The sequence below is a fragment of the Homo sapiens genome, chromosome 2 (assembly GCF_000001405.40).
Source record: "Homo sapiens chromosome 2, GRCh38.p14 Primary Assembly".
NCBI lineage: Eukaryota > Metazoa > Chordata > Mammalia > Primates > Hominidae > Homo > Homo sapiens.
Window position 1 is genome coordinate 231184926 of NC_000002.12, and position 21188 is coordinate 231206113.

The 21188-nt window shown below is 51.4% G+C and overlaps 1 protein-coding gene across 10 annotated transcripts in view, besides 3 other annotated features; it reads left to right on the forward strand.

Moving 5' to 3' along the window:
• Positions 2670-2964: an enhancer, noted in NCBI's record as "tiled region #12701; K562 Activating DNase matched - State 7:EnhWF". NCBI's record gives its function as "activates a minimal TATA promoter and a strong SV40 promoter by Sharpr-MPRA in K562 cells {active_cell/tissue: K562}" and the evidence as "EXISTENCE:reporter gene assay evidence [ECO:0000049][PMID:27701403]".
• Positions 6584-7464: an enhancer, noted in NCBI's record as "H3K4me1 hESC enhancer chr2:232056223-232057103 (GRCh37/hg19 assembly coordinates)". NCBI's record gives its function as "activates a minimal SCP1, AML or CMV promoter by ChIP-STARR-seq in primed H9 embryonic stem cells {active_cell/tissue: H9 hESC(primed)}" and the evidence as "EXISTENCE:reporter gene assay evidence [ECO:0000049][PMID:30033119]".
• Positions 13512-13851: a silencer, noted in NCBI's record as "silent region_12424". NCBI's record gives its function as "represses an Ori minimal core promoter by ATAC-STARR-seq in GM12878 lymphoblastoid cells {active_cell/tissue: GM12878}" and the evidence as "EXISTENCE:reporter gene assay evidence [ECO:0000049][PMID:35858748]".
• Positions 13706-21188, forward strand: part of ARMC9 (armadillo repeat containing 9) — a 178218-nt gene continuing 170735 nt past the window's right edge. For 7 of the 10 annotated variants that reach the window (NR_148040.2, NM_001352754.2, NM_025139.6 and 4 more), the window contains exon 1: positions 13706-13773. The gene's annotated coding sequence lies outside the window, so the exon portion shown is untranslated. Of the gene's footprint in view, positions 14021-21188 lie in introns of all 10 variants that reach the window. The other 3 variants (NM_001271466.4, NM_001352756.2, NM_001352755.2) reach the window with 2 other exon arrangements.

The following is a 21188-nucleotide window of genomic DNA, read 5'->3' on the forward strand; positions in this document are numbered from 1 at the left end:
ATCGCACCGCTGTACTCCAGCCTGGGTGACAGAGAGAGACCCTGCCTCAAAAAGTAATTACTTAATTAATTAATTAAAATAAATTGCTTGCCTTTTATTTCTTCTTTCCATTAGAGATAGGGCATTATAAGGGTCATTTTTAAATCATGTGGATAAATATCTGGGAATTTCCTTTTAGGACAGGAAAGAGGATATTACGAAACATGTTATTAAAGGGGGAGTCTGGGAGGGTGGAGACTCACCGCCCAGGTCAGCCAGGCATGCTCGATGGGGAGCCCCTCTGAGGCCACCCTGCCTGTCCTTCCCCGCAGGCCTGGCACCCTTCTCAGCCTCTACCCTATAAGGCCATGTGAGGGCTGAGCAGCAGACAGAATGAATGGGCTTCCCTGGCCGGTGGCTCTCACGGCTCCCCGGAGCAGAGGGAGGGGAAGGTTGTGGAGACTGGGACTGAGCAGCCTCCCAGGAGAGGAAGCTCCACAGCAACCCCTGCCCCGGGAGCCCCCGATTGGAGGTAGCCTCCAGAGCTAATGCTGGGCAAGCCAGACTTTGAAGTGCAAGCAAGGAAAATGCCCTGTGACCCCTGCTACTTCCCTCTAGACAGGTGCACACACATGCCCATGGGACAGATGGGTCTAGAAAATGTGAGTCAGGACAGATCAGAGCCTTGAAGGCTCCTGGGGCCAGAATGGAGGGTGGGGAGGGAAATCTGTCCCTTGTCTTGGCTCCTTCCCCAGACCTGTGTTCTGGGTTTGGTGCCACTGGTGGAGATGGCGAATGGCCTGCCTAGGGGCGGGTGAGGCCACAGCTGGCCTGGCCTGAGACCTGAAGGCCTAGACAGCTTGGATTCGGGGGGCTTTGGGCTCCAGACCAAGACCTTGATGCTGCAGGGATGGGGCCCCCATAGTGTACCACCATCTGCAGAGACCCCTGGATGCAGTGGGGGTTCAACCATGCCCCCACCTCGCTGGAGGGCCAGGGCCTTGCTCCAGTCCCCAGCCCCACCAGCACTTCCAAGCTGGTTCCAGGGAGGCTGGGAAGAAGCTGGGCCTGGCCTTCCTTCCACAGTTGTTCTTGGAACCAAAAATGTTTATTTCCCAGCCTTTTGGTAGCTCCTCCAGGGAGGGACGTTCACAGGCAGGCTGAAGGGGAAATGGAGACACAGGACAGGGTGGTAACTCATCCGGGTCATCCTGTGCCTCCCTGCCCAGCCCTAGCCTGTGTGGAACCCAGGTCCAGATCATGTCACAGAGAGCCTGGGTCCCAGCAGTCAGTGGGACCACCTCCTCTCTCAGGGCCCTGGTGGATTCCCCAGAGGATGCTGCCTTCAGCCGGCCCTGTGGATCTGTGTGTCTTTGCTGGACTGCCTCTGGGACCACCCGCCTTAACCAACCTGCCAGGACAGAAGGACAGGTAGGGTCAGGCTGCCAGTCTGTCCCTCCAGCTCAGGAGTGGGACTGGCCTGAGATGATGGTATGGCACCTGCTCTGGATGGGGTGCAGTGTTCAGGCTGTGCAGGAAAAGGTCAGAGAATGATGTGGGGCCAGTGTGCCAGGGCCAGCAGCAGAGACAGAGCTGAGATCCCAGAGCGGCCACCACCTCCAGGGCAGCCAGGTCCTTGAGCCACTTCCAGGTCCTGCGACCCTTGGGCCCAGCCACTGAAGGCTCAAGTTCTTCGCCCGGACCTCCCCGGTCAAAGTGCTCAGCACAGGAAGCGCCGTGGGCCTGGGTGGGGGTCAGCTATCCTCCCAGGCTCTGGCCAACAGGCATGAGCTATTTTGTTATTGTTATTTTTAATTTATGGGGTACATGAGATGTTTTGATACAGTCATGCAATGTGAAATAAGCACATCATGGAGAATGGGACATCCATCCCCTCAAGCATTTATCCAAATTTGAGTTGCCAACAGTCCAATTACACTCTAAGTTATTCCAAAATGTACAGTTATTGACTACAGCCACCCCGTTGTGCCATCAAATAGCAGGTCTTATTCAATCATTCTATTTTTTGTACCCATTAAGCATCCCCATCCCCTTCCAAGCCCCCGCTACCCTTCCCAGCCTCTGGTAACCATCCTTGTACTCTCTATGTCCATGAGATCAATCACTTTGATTTTTATTAATTACATTTATTTATGTATTTATTTTGAGACAGAGTCTCACTCTGTCGCCCAGGCTGGAGTGCAGTGGTGTGATCTTGGCTCGCTGCAACCTCCACCTCCTGGGTTCAAGCGATTCTCATGCCTCAGCCTCCCAAGTAGCTGGGATTACAGGCAAGTGCCACCATGCGCGGCTAATTTTTGTATTTTTTGTAGAGACGGGGCTTCGCCATGTTGCCCAGGCTGGTCTCGAACTCCTGAGCTCAAGCAATCGTCCCGCTTTAGCCTCCCAAAGTGCTGGGATTACAGGCATGAGCCACCGCGCCCAGCTATTTTGATTTTTAGATCCCACAAATAAGTGACAAAGTGCAAGGTGTGTCCTTCTGCCAGGAACTCTCTCAGCTTTTTACCCTGTGCCCACCTATAAAGAGAATGCCACGCCCCTGCAAGTGCCCTCACCCAGGGGAAATGCACAGATGGCATGAGGGGTCCCACAGGTGGCTGGACACTCATGCACCTCAATGTCGGGGACATGCTCCCACTCTCTTGTGCTCCTATATGAGCTGGAAAATGTCCCCCTAAAATTCATTTCCACCCAGCGCTCAGAAGGTAACCTTATCTGGAAATAGAACCCTTGCAGACGTAATTAGTTAAGATCTGGTCATACTGGAGTAGCGTGGTTCTCCAGCACCAGAAGCCAGCAGATAGGCAGGGATCAGAGTCTCCCTCCTAGCCTTCAGGAAGAGTTAACCCTACTGGTCTGATGTCAGGCTTCTGGCCTCCGGAACTGGGAAGGAATCAATTGCTGCTGTTTTCAGCTGCCCAGCTGTGCTCATTTGTTATGAGAGCCCCAGCTGACTGATAAGCTACCAGGCATGGTTCCTTTCCCAAGGCCACCTCGTGATCCAACGTGGCGCCTGGGCTTCAGACGGTACATCTGCGTTCCAGCCATCAGGAGAGGGAGGAGGGAGAATGCTGAAGGCACAATCTTCCCCTTGAGGGACACTTCCCAGAAATTGTACACATCATTTCTGCCTTCATTTGGCCAGAGATTAATCACTTAGTGGTATGTGCCCAGCTAAAAATGTTTGGTTTGGCTGGGCGCAGTGGCTCATGCCTGTAATCCCAGCACTTTGAGAGGCTGAGGTGGGCGGATCACTTGAGGTCAGGAGTTCGACACCAGCCTGACCAACATGGTGAAACCCCATCTCTACTAAAAATACAAAATTGGCCGGGCGTGGTGGCAGGTGCCTGTAATCCCAGCTACTCGAGGGCTGAGGCATGAGAATCGCTTGAACCGGGGAAGTGGAGGTTGCAGTGAACCGGGATCGTGCCACTACACTCCAGCCTGGGCAACAGAGTGAGACTGTCTCAAAAACAAAGATAAAACACAAGCAAAAAAAATTGGTTTTATTCCTTTTATTCGTCTGGGAAAAGGGGAGAAGAAAGATGGAGGCGCTATACTGCACACTGACACTCCACAATAAACAAACTTCCTCTATTAGATGTTTCTGGACCCTAAATCCCAAGATCCCCTGATGGAGCCAGTGCCTTCAGCACCTCCATGAGCAGCTCACCACCTTGCTAGCTCCCTTTCTCCCCAACTCCAAAGCTCCTTCTAGGCCCCTTCTAGGCCAGGACACTCCAGGTCAGCCCCAGTGCCCCCATGGGACCACACACCCTCCACCCACTTCGGCACTGAGACCCAAAAGGCCCCCAGGCACAAGCACCCCACCTCCTTGAAGGCAGTTCTGAGACCCCGGAGTCTCACCCTGCTCCTCTTGCCACCTCACCCTAGAGGACTTATGTAAGTATTCCTTCCCGATGAATCCATTGCTCCTCCTAAGAGGAAATCTGGAGAAAGAAATGTCCTTCATCTGCTACCATGGGACCCCATTACCTTTCCAGCCTGATTGGTCAGTTGGGCTTCCCCACCCACAGCCAGAAAACCCTCAAACTCAGAGCATCTCTTCCCTCCACCCCCACCGGCTAACAGGCCTGGAGTAAATGACACTGTGGGGTCCAAGCGGCTCAGGCTTCCTCAGCCTCAGAGCTCTCAAGGGGTGGGTTGAAAGCTTTCTTGAAAGCAGGGGGTCCCCGCCTCCCCAAAACCCCTCCCACAGACTTCTCTCACTCTCCACATGTTTCCTGGCTGGTCCCAGGGACTCTCTTGCCTCTAGTAGGATGAATCCCAGAGATTTTTGGCTCCCAAATGGGACTCTGGTGCGCCTCCTGGGAGCTGGGACCCGCTGCACCCCTGTAGTTATGGGACTGGAAGACAGCTGCCAGGTCTTCGCCCGCAACATGGGGAGCACTGTCTCGATGCGTTCATCCTGACGGCTGGGCACTGACGGGCCAGGGAGCAGCTCTCTGAGCCTCAGCTCTCTCCATTTGATGATGCTGCCCCTTGGGTCTGTGCCCAAGGTGTCAGCCTCCAGATGCACCCAGACCCTTGCAGGCCAACCTCTGTCAGGACAGCCCCAGTCCTCAGATAGGGTTTGCTTAAATCTAAAGGGTGGGCAGGGCTCATGTCACCTTTTTCTGGATAGCTTCTACGCCTTGATTCAAAGCAGGGGCCGCAAATACCTAGGGGAGTGGGTGACTTAACTCCATTTACTAGAAGTGTCTGAGCCTGGACAAGCTGCCGCCACACTGCACATAACTTCAGCACAACTGCCTCCTTCAGCACCTCCCCCAGGATCCCGGGGCCCCTTTCCAGGACCTGGAGAAATAGGAGGACACGGCTGAGCCCCTGCTCACAGAGGGAGGGAGGGAGGGAGGAGGGGGCCCCCGGAGCTGAGATTCAGCCACTTGTTCTTTCCTCCTGCTTAGAACTCTGCTTCGTGGGCAGGAAGGGAGGCCTGGGATGGAGGCTGGCTCTGCCAGGGAGCCTGTAAGAGTGCAGACTCTGCCTTGCAAGTGATCAGTGTGAAGAGCTCGAGTCAAAAAGGATCCTTTATCCAATACACTCAGAGGCATTTTAGAAAGTCAAGAGGGTGCAGCCATGCCAGGGTAAGGACTAGGCTCCCAGCCTCCAGGGAAGACCCTGGAAGGCCTTGGTGGCTCCTCTCTGGTTCTCAGCAGACCCAAGGTTACCCAGGCAGAGCGGACATGCAGTCCCAGTCCCACACAGGGCTGAAAGCGGAGCGGAGAGGGAGAGAGCGGGACGGAAGCCCAAAGACCGAGGGCACTGTAAAGTCCTACTTCCAGCCCTGCCCAGCGGGGCCAGCTCCACCCCTGACTTCTCAGGGATGTGAGCCAAAGAAAGCCCTTTTGGCTTAAGCTGTTTCGAGACAAGTTCCTATCACTGAATGTGAAGGATCTCTTCTTTCCTAAGACACCGGACAGCTCTGATCTGTCCTTTGTAAGGAGTTCAGGCAGGGAGGGAAAGGGCCAGGGGCCGGACCAGAGAGAACGTGCAGTAAGGGACCCGGGTGGGCCAGGGCTGCCGGCCGGCCAGGGCAGCTCCACAGTCAGGGGCTGGGGGCTAAGCCGGGGCGTGTTGAGAGGGGGCGGCTTGGGGGTCGGTGATGGGAGGAAAACAGGGAACCCAGGACGCCCGGGTGGGGACTGACTCTCCATTGCAGGGCGTATGTTTTCTGGGCGCCTCTCGCCGTCCTGACCGCTGGGCTGGCAGAGATGGCGCTGTGTTGCTGGAAATGACGGCCTAAGGGAGGTGGGGGTGCACCTGGGGCCAGGTCGGGCTGTGCTGGCTGTTCCCCAAGACTCTACCTGAGTCTCCCGCCGCAGCCAACCCCAATCCTTCCCACGCCGGAGATCACTGCAGTGACCCACCCTTCGTTAAGTGTCAGGCCACTGGGTAAAAATCCCTGCAGCCCCTCGCTCGCTTCTCTTGGCTGGAGGCCGCGGGACGGGCTCGCTCCCCCCGCCGGGACCCAGATCGGGAACTGGCCCCCACGCCAGTCTGGCTGCGTCTGGGCCGCTTCCCGGGCTGCTCCGCCGGCCGGATGCTCCCGCTGAGACATTTATCCTCCGCGGAGCAGGGCCCTGGGGGGGCTGCCCCGCCTGCACTGGCCGCGGGTCTCTCCTTGGAGTTGGCTGGGGTACCCAGTGGGCCCGCAGCTCGGCTTTCTTGGCCGCAGATGCTGCAGGGGCCCTGCCTAGGACCCTTGAGTTCCAGCAGAGGCACCCAGACTGCTGAGCCAGAAGATTTGCGTTTCTTTTCTTTTTTTTTTTCTTTGAGACAGAGTCAGGCAGATCACGAGGTCAGGAGTTCGAGACCAGCCTGATCAACATGGTCAAAACCCTTCTCTGCTAAAAATACAAAAATTAGCTGGGTGTGGTGGCACGTGCCTATAATCCCAGCTACTCAGGAGGCTGAGGCAGGAGAATCTCTTGACCCCGAGAGGCGGAGGTTGCAGTGAGCTGAGATTGTACCATTGCACTCCAGCCTGGGTGACAAGAGTGAAACTCCATCTCAAAAAAAAAAAAAAAAAAGATGTTCTCTGTGTGCCACATCTTGCTGGTCACCCAGGTGTGTTGACCTGCCAGGAAACTACCCAAATGTGGTCACTTTAGCATCTATTCCTCCAGCTTAAACCAACATGCCACCCTCTGGGCTAACATCCTGTGCCCTGTGATGTGCTTTTTTAAACTTGCTTAGAAAGTGACAGTCCTCGGCCGGGCGCAGTGGCTCATGCCTGTAATCCCAGTACTTTGGGAGGCTGAGGCGGGCGGATCACGAGGTCAGGAGATCGAGACCATCCTGGCTAACATGGTGAAACCCCGTCTCTACGAAAAAACACAAAAAATTAGCCGGCACGGCAGCGTGTGCCTGTAGTCCCAGCTACTCGGGAGGCTGAGGCAGGAGAATGGCGTGAACCCGGGAGGCAGAGCTTGCAGTGAGCCGAGATCGCGCCACTGCACTCTAGCCTGGGCGACAGAGCCAGACTCCATCTCAAAAAAAATAAAAAATAAAAAAGAAAGTGACAGTCGTCATGAAAAGTCTTAAGTGAGTATGTCTATGAACACCACTGATGAAAGCCCTAGCAATCTCTCCAAGTGTGCCTGCTTGGAAACCACCTGGGAATCCAGGCTTGCTCTTCCAGATGTTCATTTTGAGGCCTGAGTTTTTCTGCCAACCTCCTCCAGGCCACAGAACGATTGGGGCAGTGATGCGGCTCACATCCTTGGGACAGGGGAGGAAGGACACACACTAGAGGCCACAGTGGCTGCTCAGTGACTTTCAGGGGTCGCCTGCTTTACCGCCCACCGAGAGCTCTTTTGGGAGATGAATATTTCCACCCGGTGTGCTCTCCTTCCAAGAAATCTTCAGCTTCCAGATATAAACAGCTTTGGGAAGGGGAGTGGGAGGAGAAGCAGCCTTTGGGAGACAATTGTTCCTCCACCCCTACATGGACTCCGGGCTGGGAAGATGAATGGACCTGCATACCCCACACATCATGAGTTTTGAGCAGCGACCAAGATCCAACTTTCCTGGAAGGAAATGTTCGCTTAAGCAGCATCTTGTAATTCATCTCTTGATTTACGCCGGGCATTTCAGTATGTTCCTCCTCCATCCCACTGATTAGATCCAGGCGCTGGGCCTGCCCAGAAACATGCTCTTGGTCTGAACTCCCCCTGCAGGAGCTCCCGGATGAGGCAACTGCGTTTAGTCTAGCTGGCCGCTGGTCTGCCTGGGTGGGTCAGGCTCAGTGTGCTTAATTTAGGTGGCTTCACCCTTTTATGCAACTCAGGAAAGTAACATTTACCAACTCTCCCTCTTTGCTTGTGGTCTCAGCTCTTTGCCTTCCAACAAAGACAGCAGCCAGAAAGATGCCTGCTTTGCCTGCAAAGATGACTTCATTCATGAACTGTGTGTAGCAGGCCACAGAGGAGTGTGACCCTCCTGCCCCTAAAGTACTCAGGGCTAGGGCCCACAGAGGGCTCTAGGCTGCAGAAGAATCAGCTGTGTCCCCCACCAGAATCTAGAGCTCCACCAGTCCCTTCGATGTCCTATGCAAGGCTGAAGATATTGGCTAAAGTGTTCAGCATATTCCAAGGATTTAATTTGAGGTTAAGTTTTTCCCAGCACCAGTGTCATTATAATTCTAGAATCTGAGAGATGGGTGTATGGCGATTCACTAAACCATCCTCTGGTTTTGCATATGTTTGAAATTTTCATAATTAAACAATTTAGAAAGTCATCTTGGGCCCATTGGCAGTATGTATCCCATTTTGGGAAAACTGGAGTGGTCAAACAAGAACATTTGGGGCAAATGGGATGCTTTGGCAGGTCCTAAGAGTGGGGAAGCTGAGGCAGCTGGTTCAGTGTATTGCTATGAACTCATGGAATATACACAGCAGAGCCAACCTAGAGACTGCCTGGAGGAAGCTTCAGAACTAAGCAGTTTTGCCTCTTGTGACAAAAGTATCCTTTGTACTCCCACGAGAACACATCGAATAAGTTAAACAGACTGAGATTGAGTCAGAGATTTTCCACCTAAATACTGGCATTATGCTTACACAAGTGTTCAGGATTCAAAGAAAGTCTTAAATTATAACTAAGGAATTATAGTAGTTTAATTATTTTTAAACTGTATCAAACCGTATCTATTTGTTCCATATCACACCTAGTCACGGGGATGATACAATTCAGAACCAACCCAGATCCTTGACAACTTGAGCTGCTGGTAAGAAGCCAGCTACTTCTGTATTTATTATAAGAAAATGAACCACCACCCCCATTGCTGAGGCCACTTTTAGTTGATATGACATTGTGAAATAAGAAAAATATATAATTAGGCCGGGTACGGTGGCTCACACCTGTAATCCTAGCACTTTGAGAGGCTGAGGCGGGCAGATCACCTGAGGTCAGGAGTTCGAGACCAGCCTGGCCAACATGGTGAAACCCTGTCTCTACTAAAAATACAAAAACTAGGTGGGCGTGGGGGGCACGCACCTGTAATCACAGCTACTCGGGAGGCTGAGGCAGGAGAATCATTTGAACCCAAGAAGCAGAGGTTGCAGTGAGCTGAGATTGCACCACTGCACTCCAGCCTGGGTGACAACAGCAAAACTCTGTCTAACAAAAAAAAAAAAAAAAAGAAAGAAAGAAAAAGAAAGGAAAAATATATAATTGATCTCTGCCCCTGGCTCCTGGCACAGAGCTCCTAAAATTCTTGTCATTTCCTGAGTGATGGGGCACTAGGTGGATCTTTTTGTTCTATTTGGTCTTTGTCCCTTGCTCCTGATAAAGGGTCCTAATCCCTTGGAATTTCATGGGTGATGGGAACATCTAGTATTCTAATGAGATGACTCTTGGTGGGCTGGTCACCAGAAAAACCAAGCCAAGGTTAGAAGCTTGGAACTTTCAGCCCCATCCCCATCTTCTGGGATGGGGAGAAAAGCCAGAGATTGAGTTGATAATTGATTGTGCCGACCAGGCGCAGTGGCTCACGCCTGTAATCCCAGCACTTTGGGAGGCCAAGGCAGGCAGATCACCTGAGATCGGAAGTTCGAGACCAGCCTGACCAACATGGAGAAACCCTGTCTCTACTAAAAATACAAAATCAGCTGGGCGTGGTGGCGCATGCCTGTAATCCCAGCTACTTGGGAGGCTGAGGCAGGAGAATCGTTTGAACCCCGGAGGCGGAGGTTGCAGTGAGCTGAGATTGCACCATTGCACTCCAGCCTGGGCAACAAAGAGTGAAACTCCGTCTCAAAAATAATAATAATAATAATAACAATCGATTGTGCCTGCATTACGAAGCCTCTGTAAAAATCCCTCAACCACAGCGTTTGAAGAGCTTCTAGACTGCTGAACCATGGAGGTACCTGGAGTGGGCATGGAAGGTCTGCGCCCCCATCCTTTGCCCTGGGTACCATCTCATCTGGCTGTTTATCTGTAACCTTTGTCACATTCTTTATAATGAGCCAGTACATGTGAGTGTTTCCTTCTATGAGCCATCCTAGTAAATTAATGGAACCCTCATTTATAGCCATTTGGTTAGAAGTACAGATGACAACTGCTACTTTTGACTGGCATCTGAGGTGGGGGACAGTCTTGTGGGACTGAGCCTTTGACCTATGGGATCTGATTCTAACTCCAGTCATTAGCTAGTATCAGAATTGAATTGTAGGACAACCAGTTAGTGTCTGCTGGATAGTTGCTTAGTGTGTAAGGAAAAACCTCCACACATCTGCTGTCAGAAGCATTGTGTTGAGGACGGGCATGGTGGCTCACACCTATAATCCCAGCACTTTGGGAGGCCAAAGCGGGAGGATCGCTTGAGCCTAGGCGTTCGAGACCAGCCTGGGCAACAAAGTGGGACCCCACCTCTAAGGAAAAAAAAAAAAAGAAAAAGCCGAGCATAGTGGTGCGTGCTTGTGGTCCCAGCAGCTACTTGGGAGGCTGAGGCAGGAGGATCACTTGAGCCTGGAAGCTGAGGCTGCAGCAAGCTATGACTGTGCCACTTCACTCTAGCCTGGGCAACAGAGTTAGACTCTGTCTCAAAAAAAAAAAAATGTGTTGAGTGTGAGAAGAGTAAAAGCAGTCAGTTTGGTTTTTCCTATCTCAAACAGACATATAGAAATTGTGTCTATGTTAGTCTGGTCTCTTTTGGTTGCAAGTGACAGAAACCCAACTTGAACCAGTTTATTAATTAAAATAATTTTTTTTTTGTACAGACGGATTTTTTTTTTTTGTACAGATGGATGTTGCTATGTTGTGTAGGCTGGTCTGAAACTCCTGGCCTCAAGCAATTCTCCCACCTTGGCCTCCCAAAGTGCTGGGATTACAGGCATGAGCCACCATGCAGGTCCAAACTAGTTGAAATTAAAAAGATGGTTGAAGTCGGGTGCAGTAATATGTATAATCCCAGCACTTTGGGAGGCTGAGGCAGGCAGATGGCTTGAGCTCAGGAGTTTGAGACCAGCCTGGGCAACATGGCAAAACTCCGTCTCTATAAAAAGTACAAAAATTAGCTGAGCGTGGTGGCACATGCCTGTAATCTCAGCTATGAGGGAGGCTGAGGTGGGAGGATTGTTTGAGCCCAGGAGGCAGAGGTTGCAGCAAGCTGAGATTGCGCCACTGCACTCCAGCCTGGGTGACAGAGTAAGACCCTGTCTCAAAAAAATAAAAAATTTAAAAGACAGTTGATTGGAAGGATGCTGGAGGAGCTGTAAGAATAAGTGCAGCTCCAGGGAACTCAGATCCTGGGACCAGGGATTTGATGTCCCCAGCACTTTCTTTGCATTTCTCTAGGTAATGGCTTCATCTTCTCAGTCTTTCCCATGTAGTGAATGCTGTAGGCTGCCCTGGAGTCTCACTTTACAATAACCTGACCACACTTCAACAGCAAAATCCCAGGGAAGGACTATCATTGGCTTTGCTTGGCTCACATGCCCATCCTGGACCCATCACTGAGGCCAGAGGGATGGGGTAAGATTGGTCCAGTTTGGACCATCTGCCCATCCTGTGGTGAGGGATGGGGTATGTTACCAGAAGGGAGAGGGGAGGTAGACAGACAAAGACAATAGCCACCACAATGACCATAATCCCGGCAGTCAGGCAAATGCACTCAGGAGGGAAAGCAAAGCAGGTGGGGTGTTCACGGCAGCTCAGAGCCCAGGGTCCAGAGACACGGAGACCTGGGTTTAGTCCTGGTCTCCTCAGTGGTGTAAACTTTGAGGAGTTTCTTAATCCCGTATGCCTCATGTTGTTCATCTTGCCAAAGACAAAACAGACAGCTCTAATCTCAGCTAATCAACCATGAGACAAAGAATGAGAAGCTGAAAAGTCTGTCCTTGGCCTTGCCGGCAGACTCAGGCAGAAGGGAAAAGGTCTGCATTTGTCCTTGTCACAGGTAAACAAGGGGGTCATCCGTGCATCATATGGGAGGCATGAGAAAGACAGGACTGTGGGTCTGATGAAGTCATATGTGGAAGGGTAGTTCTTTCTGATAAGCTACTTCCCAGAACACAAAAGTGTGGAGGATTTTAGAAAACAAAAGGTTTGGGGGTGCGTGGGTGAGATTTCTTAACTGTGGCTGTTTTCTAAGAGCACACAGCTCAGGTTAATTACAACATTGTCAATCAGTAAAATGCTGAAAATATTATTCATCTCATAGATGTGGTGTGAGAATTAAAAACTTTTTTTTTTTTGAGACAGAGTCTCACTCTGTTGCCCAGGCTGGAGTACAGTGGCGTGATCTCGGCTCACTGAAACCTCCATCTTCCGGGTTCAAGGATTCTCCTGCCTCAGCTTCCCGAGTGGCTGGGACTACAGGCACATGCCAATACGCCCAGCTAATTTTTGTATTTTTAGTAGAGACAGGTTTCACCATGTTGGCCAGGCTGGTCTGAAACTTGTGACCTTAGGTGATCCATCTGCCTTGGCCTCCCAAGTGCTGGGATTACAGGTGTGAGCCACCGTGCCGGGCCTGGTGTGAGAACTAAAGAAAACAATCTATATGATTCACTTAGCACAATGCTGGGCACACATATAGGCTGCACGTTTTGCAAACAAAAATACAGAACAATATAACATCCTACATGCACAATAAAATGAAGCAGTTTTTGGGATTTACTTACACTAAAACATTATCTAAAATTTACATTTAACTGTGTGTTCTATATTTTGTCTGGCATCTCCCGGCATACAGTTGTGTTGACGATAAATATTATGGCCATGGATTGAAGATTTATTTTCAATCCATATTACCTGGACAGAAGATAGGGCTCTCTTCTACTAAATACAGCTTTTTTTCTTTTGGAAGACAATCCACTGGCAGGGTTGGGGACTGGGGAAGTGGTGGCCACAGCCCATCTTAGGGCTTCTTCAAAGGCGAGCTGACCTACCTTCTCCGTGCCCCATTCCCTGTCTCTGGCCCTGGTAGCCTCCTCCTTCTTGGAAGCATGGAGGTGGAAACACTGAGGTGGCAACGAGAGACTCCCACGGAATCTCAACGCCTGGAGGGGAGGGATTTTCTATCCATGGCCATCTCTTCACCCTCCAGCACAAAGTTGGGTGACTAGCAAGTGCTCATTCAGTGCTGATGAACTTCAGTTCAAAAGCATCAGGTGCAAAGAGAGGGAAGACGTGTGCTCCTGATTTATTTTTAATAGCCCACATTTGACATGGAAAACAAAAAGTTTCTCTGAAATCCTTGGAAACCGCTGCAGTGGGGCGGGACCCTGGTCCCCGGAGCTTTAATGCACATCTTGGGCGTCACTTTTGGTTCTAAGGTGGCCCCAGGTCCCTCCTTTAAGATGGGAATAACCATGCCTGACTCTTTCCCCACGGACACCACACTGTCCTAGTTTGTGTTCTCTACGCGACCACGAGCTCCTTGAGACAAGGGGTTGAGCCTGCTCCGGCTCATCCCGAGAGCCGGCGCAGCGACTGGCGCAACGAAAGGGAAATGAACGAATGAATGAACGAACGAAAGTGGAGTGGTGGAGAGGACCACAGAAGACGCGGTCATCCAGCGCGTGAACCTTCACCACTGCTGGGCTGTGGACCCTCACTTCCGCCGCCAGGAAGTTTCGGGGTCGCCCACCTTCCCTCCCAGGCTGCTCCGCGTCGGCGGCGCCCCGCGCGATTGGCTGCGCCGCCCCCACGTGACGCCGGGGTGGCGGCGGCGGTTGCCCGGGTGACGGCTGCGGAGGTGGCGGCCGGGCTGGGATAGCGCGAGTGTCCGCGGCCGAGCAGCAGGTAAGCGCGTCCCCGGATGCAGCCGGGCCACCCTCCGCCCGCCGTCCTGGTGCTGGGAGGAGCAGCGGTGCGTTTGGAGGGCCGAGGCTCTGCGGACCTCTTGTTCCGAGGAAAAACCCGACGCGCCCGCTCCGCCGCCGCCGGATGCTACCACTTCTCGCCTGCGGTCCAGGGATCTTTCTTCGGCAAGGGCCGAGGCGGCCGCCTGGACATCCCAAGAAAGGACAGGCCCAGCTGCTTCCCGCAAGTAGTCCCTGATCTTTGCTGCAGTGGGCCATACTTGGAGGGGGTCCCTCAAGCCATCCAGCTGGTGGTGGCGGCGCGAGCGGGTTATCCGGGATTTAGATCCCCCTGATAATCTCCATCTGCTAGCCGCGTTCCTGAGGCACCCAGTTGAAGTCCAGACTTCACCTAATCTTAGGAAAAACAGGATGCGTGCTATGCAGATTCGGCTTCCATACAAATCCCATAATCCCACCCGTTTGTGGGCCCTAAATCTTTCTTATATAGGAATTCAAAAGCTGCCGCTGCAATCCCCAAATGTAACTGGAAAAGTTTTTCTTAGTTTCCGCATAAAGGAGAGCACTGGTTCTCAAACTTGAGAGTGTGTAAAAGTCACTCAGGGAGCTTGTTTAAAAGGCAGATTTCTGGGCATGGTGCCTGCCACGGTGTTCAGTAAGACCAGGGTGGAGGCAGGAATTTTCATTTGCACAAGCGTGCCAGCTGATTCTGATTTAGGTGGTCCAGACTTTGGGAAATACTGTGTAGTGGTTCTTTTCAGCCGCTTAGTCACTTACTGTGGCTGTTGGGAGTGTGTCAGACTTCCTGGGCCTCAAATTGCCTCATCTGGAATGGGAAAATATAAACTATATTCACCTGTCAGGTTTACTATGAAGGTTAAATGTAAAACATTTTGCACATTGCCTGGCATACCATATACCTTCAATAAATGATACCTATTATGATATAAAAGTTTAGAGAAAATTCTGTAATTTCTTTTTCTTTTCCTTTTTTTGAGACGGAGTCTTTCCCTGTCGCTCAGGCTGGAGTGGAGTGGCATGATCTCGGCTCACTGCAACCTCCACCTCCTGGGTTCAAGCGATTCTCTTGCCTCAGCCTCCCTGGTAGCTGGGATTACAGGTGCAGACGCCACCACGCCCGGCTAATTTTTGTATTTTTAGTAGAGATGGGGTTCCACCATGTTGATCAGGCTGGTCTCGAACTCCTGACCTCAGGTGATCCGCCTGCCTCAGCCTCCCAAAGTGTTGGGATTACAGGTGTGAGCCACTGTGCCTGGCCAATTCTGTAATTTCTAAGAATGTTGAGTAATAGGATACCCAGCAGCACTCACATTCAATGACAGTTGATCACAGCAGATACTATTTAAACGGCTTAGGGAGGTCTACTCTAAGGAGGTGATGTTTATTAGGCACAGTGGTTAACCAGGTGAAGAGAGGGAAGAGTGTTCTAGGCGGAGAGAGTAATATGCGCAAAGGCCTTGAGGTTGGCCTCAAGGTTTCAAATTCTCAGAAACTCACTTTTCCCGTTCCAGGGCCTTTAAAATGACATCCCCTCAGCTCCGGCTTCATTTATTCATTATATGCCTTGAGTACCTTTCTTGCTTACTAGACACTCTGTTAGGTTCTGGGGATATGAAGTTGAAATACAGCTCCCTGTCTTTGTGAACAGGGTTATAAGAAGTGCCAGGTGCAGTGGCTCATGCCTGTAATCCCTGCACTTTGGGTGGGTGAATCGCTTGAGGTCAGGAGTTCAAGACCAGCCTGGCCAACCTGGTGAAACCCTGTCTCTACTAAAAATACAAAAATTAGCTGGGCGTTGGTGGCGGACGCCTGTAATCCCATATACTTGGGAGGCTGAGGCAGGAGAATCACTTGAACCTGGGAGGCAGAGGTTGCAGTGAGCCAGATTGCACCTTTGCACTCCAGCCTGGGCGGCAAAAGTGAAACTCCATCTCAAAACAACAAAATTAGCTGGGCGTCATGGCGCATGCCTATAACCCCAGCTACTTGGGAGGCTGAGGTGGGAGAATCACTTGAACCCAGGAGGTGGAGGTTGCAGTGAGCCGAGATCCCGCCACTGCACTCCAGCCTGGGCAACAGAGCTAAACTCCATCTCAGAAAAAGAAAAAAAAAAAAAAGCCTTGGTAGGGAAAGAAGGGAGGGGTTTTTCATGGAAGACTTCTTGAAAAGAGATTAAATCTGGCTTGGCTTAGAATCATGAGTCATGTTTGCCTGGGGGGGCAGAGCATACATCAACCACAGGCTTAGGATCCTGGAAGAGCTTGTTGCATGGGGGAATGGCCAGGAGTTCGCTGTTGGCAGGGTCCAGTGTGGGATTGGTGGAAGGGAGCAAGGAGAGGGATCAGGTAGGGGGAGGTGGATGGATTGGAGGCATGGTCCAGAAAAAGGCTGGAGAGGTGGGTGTCCCCCAGGAGCAGCTGCCTTTCTTCTCTCCCCTTTTGCATCTGGCAGGGCTGGTGTGGTGCATGGGGAGGTGTCCTCCCTGCTCCTCATTACTGCTTCCAGATCACTACCCACTCCTTCACAAACCCCAGCTCCTTTGAAGCACATGGCAGATGCCATACCCCTTGCCAGCCCTCCCTGAGGTAGCCACTTCCCAGGGCAAGTCTCTCCAGTTCCCTTGGAGCCTCCAGCACCCGGCTGGCTGCCTATCCCTTCATCTCTTTTACTTCACTTTTGGGGGTTTCCACATCCTGGCCCCTCCAGTTTCTTCATCCTCCTTACTTGCAGGCGTCTCTTTCCTCCATCCTCCTCATCTGCCCACTCCCGTGGTCGGGAGCTTTTTAGTACTAGTCACCTTCAAAGTCTTGCCTTCAGGCATCTGTCCCACTCTCTGCCCACTCCTTTCCATCTTTCACACTCACTGGAATGTGCCTCCTTCAGCAGGTCTCAGACCCCACTGCTTCCTCACTGCTCTGCAGCCGCCTTATGTGTGTTCCCCTCCCCCATTCTTAACCTGATTAGTTCCAGTGTCCCATCGTGGTTGTACTGTTTTCCCTTTCCTCTCTCTTCTAGAAGAACCTCTCACATTGGTTAACCTAACTCAGATAGCTGAAAGTGCCTGGAGAAGAGCTGCAAAACTGTGCAGACTGATTCCATTTTAGATTCAAGTGCAGAGATCTTAAATGGACTATAATACCAGCAACCCTGCCATGTTGCTGTAGTCGCTTTGGTTCCCACCCTCCCTTCCGTTCCCACTCTCCCTTCTCTTCGAACTGTCACCATGCTTCTTACTTGCAGCCGATGACCTTTTTTCTTTCTTTCTTTTTTTTTTTTTTTTGACAGAGTCTCACTCTGTTGCCCAGGATGGAGTGCAATGGCACGATCTCGGCTCATTGCAACCTCCACTTCCTGGGTTCAAGCGATTCTCCTGCCTCAGCTTCCAGAGTAGCTGGGATTACAGGTGCCTGCCACCACACCCGGCTAATTTTTGTATTTTTAGTAGAGATGGGGTTTTACCATGCTGGTCAGGCTGGTCTTGAACTCCCAGCATCAGGCGATCTGCCTGCCTTGGCCTCCCAAAGTGCTGGGATTACAGGCGTGAGCCACCGTGCCCAGCTGATCTTGTTTCTTGTTTCACTTTTTTTTTTTTTTTTTTTTTGAGACAGGGTCTTACTTTGTCACCTAGGCTGGAGTGCCATGGCGTGATCCCGGCTCACTACAGCCTTGACCTTCCTGGTTCAAGTGATCCTCCTGTCTCATCCTCCCCAGTAGCTGGGATTACAGGCACACACCACCACACCCAGCTAATTTTTGTATTTCTGTAGAGATGAGGTTTCACCACGTTGCCCAGGCTGGTCTCGAACTCATGAGCTCAAGTGATCTGCCTGCCTTGGTGTCCCAAAGTGCCAAGATTACAGGTGTGAGCCACTGCACCCAGCCTGTTTCACTTCTAATCACTAAATCTGTGTCTTTGCTCAGCACCCATATTCTCTGCTATCCCTCTGAATGCCGTTCCTGCTTCTCCCTTAAACTCCAGGCTCATATATCTGTAAGAATTAAAGAAAGAGGAGAGAAACACGAAGGGTGACTTGACAGTCAACAGGTTTGTTTCCTGGGTAACGGCCAAACTTCACCCTCTTACAATGGGCCTCAGTATAACAGTGGGCCTTAATAAGGACATTCTGTTCCCTTCAGGTGCACTAAGGGAAGCTAAAAGCAGACTTGGGGGGTATGCCTGCAGCTGCAGAAAGTTGTATAGGAACAGACACACAACTCTCCCTCCCAGATAAGCACAACAGAGAGACACAGAAACAGTTCAAGCCTTTGATAAACTCTCCCACCCTGAATCCTTAAAAACTCTTAGTCTGTAGGAGAGTGTGGCTCTGACCTAACTCGGTCGGAAGTCCCTCCCAGGTTTGAAATAAACCTGTTGACTGTCGAGCCACCCTTCGTGTTTCTCTCCTCTCTCCTCTTTCTTTGGTTCTTACAATACCCACTGACCATTTCGGAACCTCCACTGGAATGTCTAACAGGCAGCTCAGACTTATAGCCAAAACAGAGCTCTTGGTTTGACCTCAAAACAGTCCTTCCCCAGGTTTTCGTTGACTCAGCAAATCACATACTCTTCGGCCAGCTGCTCAGATCCCAGGGTTCTTCCTTCCCTTCTTCCCCTCATGTCCCACAACTAACTGGTCTGCAGATTGTGCCTCTTCTGCCTTTTCCATCTGGACTCACAGCGCTCATGGCCCCTCTTGCTTATCCAAATGATGCTCATGGCTGGCGTGGCCTGAGCAGTACTCATCTCCCTCTTCCCACTCCCCTCCAGTCTTCTCTGTAGAGCAGGCAACATGCATATTAAAAAATGGACATCAGCAGCCGGGCGTGGTGGCTCACCCCTGTAATCCCAGCACTTTGGGAGGCAGAGGAGGGAGGATTGAGCCCAGGAGTTCAAGACCAGCCTGAGCAATGGTGAAATCCTGTCTCTGAAAAAACCAAGGCTGGGCGTGGTGGCTCATGCCTGTAATCCCAGCACTTTGGGAGGCCGAGGCAGGTGGATCACCTGAGGTCAGGAGTTCGAGACCAGCCTGGCCAACGTGGTAAAACCCCGTCTCTACTAAAAATACAAAAATTAGCTAGGCATGGTGGCGGGTGCCTGTAATCCCAGCTACTCGGGAGGCTGAAGCAGGAGAATTGCTGGAACCCCGGAGGTGGAGGTTGCAGTGAGCCAAGATTGTGCCATTCTACTCCAGCCCAAGCAACAACAGCGAGACTCTGTCTCAAAAACAAACAAACAAAAAAAAACCTCACCAAAAACCAAACAAATGAAAAAACCAGAAAACAAAAGACTTGGGGCATAGTGGCACACTCTGTAGGCCCAGCTACTCAGGAGGCTGAGGTGGGAGGACTGCTTGAGTCCAGGAGTTTGAGGCTGCAGTGAGCTATGATCATGTCACTGCACTCTAGCCTGGGCAACAGAGGGAAACTCTGTCTCAGGAAAAAAAAAAAAAAAAAAAAAGGACATCAGTGGTGTCAGTCCCCTCCTCCATACTCTCTCTGAGCCTCCTGTTACTGTCAGCCTAATGTCCAAGCCACTTACCAGCTCTGTAAGGCCCACCTGACCTGGCCCCGGCCCCCCATTGCCTGCTGCTGTCTGCCTCACCCCTAGCTACATCCCAATACCCCAAGACTGCAGAGCTCTTCAGCCTGAGGCCTGTGCACTAACAAAGCCATCTTCCCCAGATCCAGGTGCTCAATCTTTGCTGAAATGTCACATTCCCAGTGAGGCCATCAACCACTCTATCTAAAATAACCCCATACCCGTCTCCTTCAGGTTCTGTCCCTTTCCTTGCGCTGTTTTCTTCATGTCTGGAATCAATTTCCACTCCGTCCATGTTTTTGAGCCTGTACTGTGTGCCAGGCACTGGTCTAGGCACAGGGGAACACCTGTCAGGTGCTGTTGAGAAAAATCAAGCAGTACAAAGGGCTGAGAAGTGATGGGCCGACCTCTTAGAAAGGGTGGTCAGGGCAAGACTCTCTGAGGAGGTGACAGTTAGGCAGAGACCTGAATGAGACGTATCTGAAGGAAGGGCAGTGAGCCAGAGTTCACGAGGGCAGGCGTGTGCTTTGGGTGTTCAGTGGGTGTCCACAGGAACCACACAGTGGCCAGTGTGGCTCAGGTTTACAGAACAAATGGGAGTGTGTCAGAGGCCAAGTTGTCTAGGGCTTTGGGAGTTGAGCCTAAGGAGCCTGGCCTTCATCTGGAGGGCGCTGGAACCACAGGAGGGTCCCAAGCAGGAGGGGAATGCTCACTTGTTAAAAGTGTAGAAATTGGATTGAAGTGGAGAGAAAGGAGGTGGGGAGGCAGTGGCAGAAAAATGTAAGGTTACAGACTCAGAAGAGATCTGACTGAGTGTGGTGGCTCACGCCTATAATCCCAGCATTTTGGGAGGCCAAGGCGGGAGGATTGCATTACCCAGGAGTTTGGCAGCTTAGTAAGACCCTGTCTCCCTGTCTCTACTTAAAAAAAAAAAAAAAAAAATTACCTGGGTATGGTGGCATGCACCTATAGTTCTAGCCACTGGGGAGGCTGAGGAGGGAGGATCCCTTGAACCCAGGAGTTTTAGCTTGCAGTGAGCTATGATTGCACCATTGCACTCCATCCTGGGCAACGGAGTGAGATCCCATCTCAAAAAAAAAATTCGATGAGTTCTGACACATTCTGAATTTTATAGATGAAGAAAGGCTCTGCACTTCAGTGAGTTGTCTCAGATCAGGTGCCAGTGAATGGCATGGTTAACATTAGAGCCCAGACCTTTTCATTCCTCTGGGGTTACGGGCAACTGCTTTGGGCTGAGCCTGGGGTGTGGGCCATGGGGAATGACTGCTTTGGGTACACCTTGAGGGAGGGCTAGTAGAAAGAGTAGGAAGAGTTTCTTTTGACTTTAGCCATTGTATTTCCTAGTGCCGCTGAACAAATGACCATAAACTGAGTGGTGTCAAGCAACAAAGATTTAATATCTTCTAGTTCTGGAGGTCAGAAGTCTGAAATGGCTTTCACTGAGCTGAAGTCAAGGTGTCTGCAGTGCTGGATCATTTCTGGATGCAGTGGGAGGATCTATTCCTTGCCTTATGCAGTTTTTAGAGGCTCCTTACCCTCCTTGTCTTATGCCACTTTATCCCCTTTAAAGCCTGCAGTGGCTGTTGAGTCTTTCTCACATCTCATCATGCTGGCACTGACCCTCTTGCCTCCGTCTGCCCCCCTCCCTCTGCTGTGACTGCCTTGGGCCCACCTGGGTAATCCAGGATCATCCCCCAATTTAAAGGTCAGCTGATGAGCAACCTTAATTCCATCTGCACCTTAATTCCCCCTTGCCGTGTAACCTCACGTATTCACAGGTTCTGGGGATTGGCGCATGGATGTCTTTGGGGGCC